This window comes from Homo sapiens, chromosome 18, assembly GCF_000001405.40.
Source record: "Homo sapiens chromosome 18, GRCh38.p14 Primary Assembly".
In the NCBI taxonomy this organism is placed as follows: Eukaryota; Metazoa; Chordata; class Mammalia; order Primates; family Hominidae; genus Homo; species Homo sapiens.
In genome coordinates this window covers 7,272,044-7,280,741 of record NC_000018.10, presented here as the reverse complement: position 1 = coordinate 7,280,741, position 8,698 = coordinate 7,272,044, and the positions used below count along the sequence as shown (strand labels likewise).

General features: G+C 46.0%; 1 long non-coding RNA gene across 4 annotated transcripts; it reads right to left on the bottom strand.

Moving 5' to 3' along the window:
* Positions 1-1,696: 1,696 nt before the first annotated feature.
* LOC105371974 (uncharacterized) lies at positions 1,697-8,343 on the bottom strand. 4 transcript variants are annotated; one of them, XR_935122.4, is made up of 5 exons: positions 8,242-8,331; positions 4,378-4,508; positions 3,800-4,081; positions 2,673-3,219; positions 1,697-2,312 (listed from the first exon to the last, which is right to left on the bottom strand). It is a non-coding gene; the product is annotated as an uncharacterized LOC105371974 (long non-coding RNA). The 4 variants fall into 4 exon arrangements; XR_935121.4 differs by lacking the exon at positions 4,378-4,508 and having other exon boundaries at positions 1,697-3,219; positions 3,800-3,846; positions 3,938-4,081; positions 8,242-8,343; XR_935119.4 differs by having other exon boundaries at positions 1,697-3,219; positions 8,242-8,342.
* Positions 8,344-8,698: the final 355 nt, after the last annotated feature.

Genomic DNA, 8,698 nt, shown 5'->3' with positions numbered 1-8,698 from the left:
TAACCCCAGTATTTCAGAATGTGACTATATTTGGAGACAGGTCTTTAAAGAGATAATTAAGGTAAAATGAGGTCATACAGGCCAGCCCCCAACAGGTATAACTGATGTCCTTATAAAAAGAGGAGATTAGGACACAGACATGCACAGAGAGAAGACCATGTGAGGACACAGTAAGAAGGCGGCCGTCTACAAGCCAAGGAGAGAGGCCTCAGAAGACACCAATCCTGCCAACGCCTTGACCTCAGACTTCCAGCCTCTAAAACTGTGCAATAGTAAATTTCTGTCATTTAAGCCACTCAGTCTGTGGTACTTTGTTAGGGCAGCCCTAGCCCTCTAGTACACCTAATTAGCTGACTAGCCATTTGTTATGCTCCCAGTTCCTTCCCTTCCAATGACAATGTCCTTCTGCATGACCAAGGACAAGAATAATTTTCCCAAGTTGCCATGTTAACCATGTGATTCCCCTTCTCAAAAAGTTCCAATGGCACCCTTCTTACCTGCATAAGTTTGAAGTGCTTCATCCTGACATTTAAGGTGCCCACAATTTTGCTACCATTGTCCTTTCCAGAATCAGATTCTTTAACATCCTACCTGAACTTTCTGCTTCTTTATTTTATTTTATCTATTTTTTTATTTTTTGAGACGGAGTCTCACTCTGTCACCCAGGCTGGAGTGCAGTGGTGTGATCTCAGCTCACTGCAAGCTCCGCCTCCTGGGTTTACGCCATTCTCCTGCCTCAGCCTCCCGAGTAGCTGTGACTACAGGCACCCACCACCACACCCGGCTAATTTTTTGTATTTTTAGTAGAGACGGGGTTTCACTGTATTAGCCAGGATGGTCTCGATCTCCTGACCTCGTGATCCGCCCGCCTCGGCCTCCCAAAGTGCTGGGATTACAGGCGTGAGCCGCCGCGCCCGGCAACTTTCTGCTTCTTTCATATTCACCTCTGCTTCTTCTGTGCACTTCCCGTCCCCGCCACCCCTCCGCATCCCCATTGATGGAATTCTGTCCACATTTCAAGGCCAGGACCAAATGACACCTCCAAAAAGCCTTGCCACAATTTATTTTTCTTCTAAATTACAGAGGACAATAATATGTATTTCACTCACAGGGCATATAATCCACTTTGCCTAATTTTATTGTTATGAACACTCTGGGAATAATTCATCAACTAGACTGTAATCACCTGGAGGACAGAAATGAATATTTTATACTTTTTTTCTTTTTGTATTCTCTCTACTTCTTGCTAGAATGCTTTATACATTGCAAGGGATCCATAACTATTGGTAACAAATTAATAAAACCAAAGTACAGGTTAAAATGAGTATCTATTATTCCCTCCTTCCAAGACAACACAAATGATATTTTGGAAGATATTGAAATGTGGGATCCAGCTCTATATTCTACAATGGTTCTTATTTATTTTTATCTACCTATTGTCTTGGTTTTTTATTTATCTATCTCCTATATCTTACCTATGGATTGTTTTGGTTTGTATTGGTTGTGAAGAAGTGTTAAAATACTGCTCTTCTCTGCTTGGGTTCTCACTTAATTACTTTTGTAATATAGTCATTGCATTATTTGAAGTAAGCAGTTCCTGTATAACTTCCATGACAGAGTGTACTCATATCATGAAGATTAGAAAAATGGATAGCAAACTATTTTTATTATATGAGTTATTAAGGAAAGCGTACCATTGCTTTGTAACTTTTTATTCAGAGAGGCTTTACTTTTGTTTACTGTATTGCTGCATAATTCCCCTGCTCCCTACCCCAACGACACTCCAGAATAGCTATAGCTTTGGCAGTGCTTGCTGGCTACACAAATATATCACTGCAATTGGAAAAATATCACTGGAGGGACAGGTCCAGGTTTGAAAATAGGGCAATTAGCTCTCAGCATGAAAAGGTGTGTCAGATGCTCCTGAAACTGAATGACAGATAATGCTGGCTTGAGCCAGGCATAACACCAAGGGCCGATGGTGTTCACGTAGAATTCCTCCTGACTTGTTTCTGCCAAAAAAGATCACTTCTGAACTGAATTCCACTGCTCACCCCAGGAGAATTTGCCAGTAGGTAGTTGTGCAGACGTGTGTGTATATATGGGGTCAAACATTCATGATCTCTCATTGTTTTCTTCATTATTATGAGGAATTCTGCTGCACAAATCATATGTTACTCTTCAGAACAAACCATCATGGTAGACAGTTGGTGTCTGCATCATCAATAGTCCCTTCCTTTGGAAGACTGCCTTGCCCCAGTTCCTGCTGATTTGCCCCAGCTCCTGTTGATTTGCCCCAGCTCCTGTTGATTCTGGGTTTGTGGTGGGGATTCCAATCATATTCCTGAACACCCGACTAACCGCCCTGCAAAATCCTAACACCAGCCTCACACCTGATGACAGGTCAAAGTAGGGAAATGTCACCCAAGCTGGGCCAATGAGAATTGGCCCTGGGAATTCTCTATACTGAAGCAGGAGTGAGCGGCTCTTTCCTCTGGGGTTGCTACTCTTGACAGGACATAAGCCTGGTTTTAGCAGTACCCCATGACAAATAGATCTAATCTGTTTGGATTAGGGTGAGGGAAAGAAGCCAATTTACGAAGATAAGCAAAGATAGACTGGGAGAGAGAGAGAGAGAGAGAAAACGGTGACATTTGCCTCACTGTACCCACCTTTCCCTAAGACCATCTCTCCAACTATCTCCTCAGTCACATGCGTGGACAAATCCTCTTTTCTTCATTTCCATATTAGCCTAAAGAGCTAGATTCTGGAGAAGAGGGTGGTGGTGGTGATGGGCTGTGGAAAGGTGGGGCACCACCTTGCAGTGAGTATCAGCCCTTTGCTTGGATGTGCCAGGAAAGGTTAACAGGGGGTCTGGAGTGGTCCCGTGGTGTCCTGGGTCAGTCTCATGTGAGCTGGGCTACCAGGTAGGACAGCCACAGTGGCTGGCTGTGCATGGCTTTCTAGCATATAGCTTCTATTCCCGATTCTTTCAATCTAGCCAAGGAGATAAGACTTAACACTCCAAGTAATAGAGAACAATCGGGGCATGCTGGTCAGTCCTCCAGCATTCACAGCATGCCCATTGATGCTGCAGGGCTGTGGAGATGAGGGACAGGTGAACTTGTAGAGTCACTGGGCTGTCACTTCGTCTTGTAGGTCCTTGATCATGGACCAGCCTGAAGGCTGACTAGAGTTGGTTCTCAAATGGAATCCCAACTGTTTAGGTGACAGGATAAAGCTATTATTCTCTTGACCCTTTAGAATTAGAATAGCTCGCAGTGTTTGATTCCTACTTTTCTTGAAGGTTCTTCTTTTTGTCTTACTCTGTAATTTTCCCAAGGATTATTAGGGTGACACCAAAAGTGCAGGGCAGACTCTGTGCTACTCCTGGTTTTGGCCAAACAGGGCACCTCTCTCTCACACTGTAGAGAAAAGTGTGTCTGCGGCCGGGAGCAGTGGCTCACGCCTGTAATCCCAGCACTTTGGGAGGCCAAGGTGGGTGGATCACGAGGTCAGGAGTTCGAGACCAGCCTGACCAACATGGTGAAACCCCGTCTCTACAAAAGATGCAAAAAAGGTAGCCAGGTGTGGTGGCAGGTGCCTGTAATCCCAGCTAGTCAGGGGGCTGAGGCAGGGGAATTGCTTGAACCAGGGATATGGAGGTTGCAGTGAGCCGAGATCATGCTACTGCACTCCAGCCTGGGTGACAGAGTGAGACTCCATCACACACACAAAAAAAAATTGTGTCTGCTTCCCATGAGGTCAAACGGGGGATGCTGATACTTGTTCTACCTACCTCACAGTATTATTGTGACAACCAATGAGGCAGTCCATGAGATAGCACTAAAGAAGAGCAAATAGCATAAAAAGTATTATCCATTGATGCCTCTCAGCTCCAACACCAGACACTTTACCCAAATCAAAGAATTATAACCTTGCAAATTTGCTCTGCATGGTTCAGCATGGTCCTTTCTCAGAAATGCCAGGACCAGATGGATGAGGTGGCCTCCATCCAGCCACTGTCATGGCCGATGATCTTGACAGGTCCTTTGACTTTTCAGTATTTACTCTGAAAGAACTTATGCAAGAAATCATAAATGAGACACTATAATAAAGCATTTGTTTAACTCTCTCCAATGTATAAAACTTTTATATTTACAAACTCACAAGATAATGCATCTTTAAAACAGATTAAAACTTTTTTAAAAAGATAAAGAGGGGGAAATAGAGCAGAGAGAAAAAGCATATCTGTGGCAAGCACTCTTCAAAACAATTTAAAGTCTCAGGGACTAAATTCTTTCCCTACATTATCAGGAACCCCTGGGAAGACAGAATTGATGTGGCCACCTCAATCCATCCCATGTGGGTACTTACATCTGGAGTGAAATAGTGAACAGCTTTTAAAGAGATGAATCCTCATTTCAGGAATGAATATTAAATTTCACATTTCATAAAAGTCTTGAGCCAGATCTACTACATGAAAAGTGACTCTCAGTTATTGTCATCTGCAATGAAAGAGGGAACCCTCCACTTGTTTCTTATTTGCATTGCCTGGATCATATTGGCAAAAAAAAAAAAAGCCATTTTCTCCTCATTTTCACCTCAGCTGTCCCTTGTATACTAAAGACACTATAAGGATATTTTAAACTCTGGCAGGGCAAAGAGGTCTCTGCATCTCTCATCTCTCAATATTTATCTAAATCTAACTTTGGTCATCAAGAAATGTATAGAATATGGTCTCCTGAGCTTCTTAAAACTTGTCTACCTAGTAAATGTGGTAAAATAAGACTAACCCTGTTGAATAAAGTGACTTTATGGTGGGGTATGCCTTTTTGTCTATATTTCCTCCCATCCTCAGAATGAATATGGGTTTGCTCAGGAAAACAAAGACCATTCTAGTTAGGTCAAGCAGGAAGGGATTTCATGGAGGGGCCTGGGTGCTTATCACACTATTGGAAGTCTAAAGGAGCAACAATCTAGGGGCCACCATGACATTCAGGTTTGCTGTTAGAGTTAAGAGTTGATGTTGCCTAGAGTGGATGAAACTAGAGACAATTGCTACAGAGTTCACAGACCCTCTGTAGACATGACATAAACAAGATGTCGAGGCTGAGGCTGCTGAATAACTCCTGTCTGGCGAGAGCATGACCATAACTTCCAGAGAAAGAGACAAAACAGGGCTTCTGTCACGCTTCCACTTTCCAAATATCAAGTGAGTTTATCTCATTGATAGGATTAAAGATGTATGCAAAGCACCTGTAGCAAGGGAGAAGGGGAAATGTCGTTTTCAAGCTTCTGGGCTGTGAAGCATAAGAAAAAGCAGAAGGCAATATATTGCCAAAGATAAACCAGACATAACCTTCATCTTAAATATTTCTGGTCTGGTGGCCAGGCACGGTGGCTCACGCCTGTAATCTCAGCACTTTGGGAGGCCGAGGTGGGAGGATCACGAGGTCAGGAGATCGACACCACGGTGAAACCCTGTCTCTACTAAAAATACAAAAAATTAGCTGGGCGTGGTGGCGGGCACCTGTAGTCCCAGCTACTTGGGAGGCTGAGGCAGGAGAGTGGTGTGAACCTGGAAGGCGGAGCTTGCAGTGAGCCAAGATGGTGCCACTGCACTCCAGCCTGGAAGACAGAGGGAGACTCTGTCTCAAAAAAAAAAAATTCTGGTCTGGTATCTTTCCTTCACCAACCACCCACCTTCCTGTCTCTCTCAGCCACTGTAGGCTTCAGGTTGGTCTTGCCCATTGTTGCTTGTTGTCCAATGCATTTCTTAGATAAAAGGCAGTGGCCACGTAGTCTTCAAAATAATTTCCCGTTCACTTCCGTTTTTTCTCCTTTGGACCTCAACCTTCCCAATCCCTTCTACCTCTACTTTCCCCAAATTTAGAAAAAATGCAGGCCAGGTGTGGTGGCTTACGCTTGTAATCCTAGCAACTTGGGAGGTCAAGGCAGTTGGATCACCTGAGGTCAGGAGTTCGAGACCAGCCTGGCCAACATGGTGAAACCCTGTCTCAACTAAATATACAAAAATTAGCTAGGAAACCCTGTCTCTACTAAAAATACAAAAATTAGCTGGGCGTGGTGGCGGGCACCTGTAATCCCAGGCTGAGGCAGGGGAATCGCTTGAACCCAGGAGGCGGAGGTTGCAGTGAGCCGAGATTGTGCCATTGCACTCCACCGTGGGCAACAGAGTGAGATTCCATCTCAAAAAAATAAAGAAAAAATGCAGGCCAGCCTCGGTGGCTCACGCCTGTAATCCCAGCACTTTGGGAGGCTGAGGTGGGTGGATCACCTGAAGTCAGGAGTTCAAGACCAGCCTGGCAAACATGGCGAAACTCCGTCTCTACTAAAAATACAAAAATTAGTTGGGGATGGTGGCACAGGCCTGTAATCCCAGCTACTCGGGAGGCTGAGGCACCCAGGAGGCGGAGGCTGCAGTGAGCCAAGATCATGCCACTGCACTCCAGCCTAGGTGACAGAGAAAGACTGTCTCAAAAAAAAGAAAGAAAAAGAAAAGAAAAAAATGCATAAGTAAACATCCTATCAAAGAATGGAAATGCCAATACCTATGAAATTGATTAGATTTAACAAGGAAGATGTTACCATCATGATGAAAGCTGTTGAAAAGCATAGTAGCTAGGTCTAGTTTAAAAGTGCATTAATTCAACGCAACATGTACATTTTCATGCAACAAAAGACCCACAGTGGCATTTTGACATGCTTCCCTCCCCTTGGATCCGATTTGTATGAAAAGTAAAACCATACTAAGAGACCATGAAGATGTCATGGGTGCGGGGGCTGTGACAAGATAGAGTGAGGAAATTTTATAAGGAACTTCTGGCAAAAGAGAGGAAATAAGCTGTGCTATGGTGTGACCTTTAGTGAAATTTTATGTCACATTTGAGCAATAAAAGGAAATGAGTCAACCGACTCCCTTCTCCCGTCTAGGCTGGGAGCCATGTGCTGAGGACCAATACTCCAGTCCCACTCGCTCCCTCTCCCGCCACTGCTAGGCTGGGTCACAGCCCAGGGGGGTGAGAATGCGGTTCTGTGAGTGTGCCAGGGACTCAACTATTGTCTCAGGGCTCCAAATCCCGTCCGCGCTCTGCCCTCTGAGGGTGGGGTTGAACTGTGAGCCACATCCTTGCTGTGCCTCCAGCTTCCTGTCAGGCTGTGCCAGTGGAAGGTGCTAGAAGGAACTGGTAAGGAGGGGAGCAAGGAGGGACTTGATTTTCCTGTCCATTCCCCATTCTTGAGTGTTCACACTCCCTCCCAGCCGTGTCAGTCCCTCACCATAGCAGCAGCTGAATCCAGTTTGCAGTGTTCCTAACACTCACAGAACCAACCTCATCACACACACCCGGAGACCGGCAGCAGCTGAGCAGCTCTGCGGGCCCCTGAGCTTTTAGGTCCTGGTGTCTCCAGCCTCAGGGGTGGCAGCCGCTCCCTGCTGTTACCTCCTCCCTGGCATCCACCATTATCCTTTTGTTTTTTTAGTTCCCCAGCTTCAACCGAATGCATGGTTTACAATTCTTTATTATTACATTGTCTCTCTTCAGATAACTGGTGTGGCTTCTGTTCCCTGGCTGAACGCTGGCTGATACCATAAACAAAATGGAGTTTTTGGAATAGTGGAGGCTTTGCATGAGTATTTGCTGAATGAATGAGTGAGTGAAGGAGTGAGTGAGCCAGTGCTCCCACTGCTGTCTGTAGCTGTCCATGCCCTTTGCACCTCGCAGGAGGAAACCAAGGCGCAGCTTAGAGCCCTCAGCCTCAGACTCAGCCTCCCTCGCCTTGTTGCCGCGACTTTCATCCAGCTTTGGGGCTCCCTCCTGTGGGCTCTGCTGGTCTCAGACAGGGCAGCAGACACAGTCTGGGCACCCCAGGGTAAACATAGCCCCGGCCAGATGCGCCCTTGTGTCTGCACGAGGCCACTTGGAGCTAACGGGGAGGGCCAGTCGAGCTCTGCGTGTAAAACACAGCGTTTCTGTTGTTTCTGCCAGGCCTTCACATACAGCTCCCAAACTCCGGCAAATCTCAAACGTAAATACCCTGCTCTAGGAAAGAAAGTAGCCAGGGGGAGAAGTCTGGTTGACTATTACCCAATTGAAGTCCCACAGTAGGAAGTAAATGAACCTGATTAAAGAAAATGGAGTACATTTCTGGCTTGGCAGAGAAAAAAATATATAAATAAATTTTTATATGGGCCTGAAATTTTCCCTTGTTACTTACTTAGGGGCTGGAATCCTAAAACGAGAGTGCCACCTGCTGACCATCGTCAGACTCCGATCCGAGCGTCGCGGGTATTTCAAGGCAGGTGCCCTGAGTGGCACAATGGGGGCCAAAGCATTCTATGTGAACACCGCACAAAGGATTCTAGGCGTGACTGCCGTGGCCATGTAGTTTCCACAGGGTGTTTGGCGCTGCCCAGAGTATGTGGACTTGTTACCTGTCCAGCACCAGGCACTCCTCTGTAAAAGTGCCTCTGTGAGGCCGGGCCCGGTGGCTCACGCCTGTAATCCCAGCACTTTGGGAGGCCCAGGCGGGCGGATCACCTGAGATCAGGAGTGGGAGACCAGCCTGGCCAACATGGTGAAACACTGACTCTACTAAAAATACAAAAATTAGCCGGCATCGTGGGGTGCGCCTGTAATCCCAGCTACCCAGGAGGCTGAGGCAGGAGAATCAC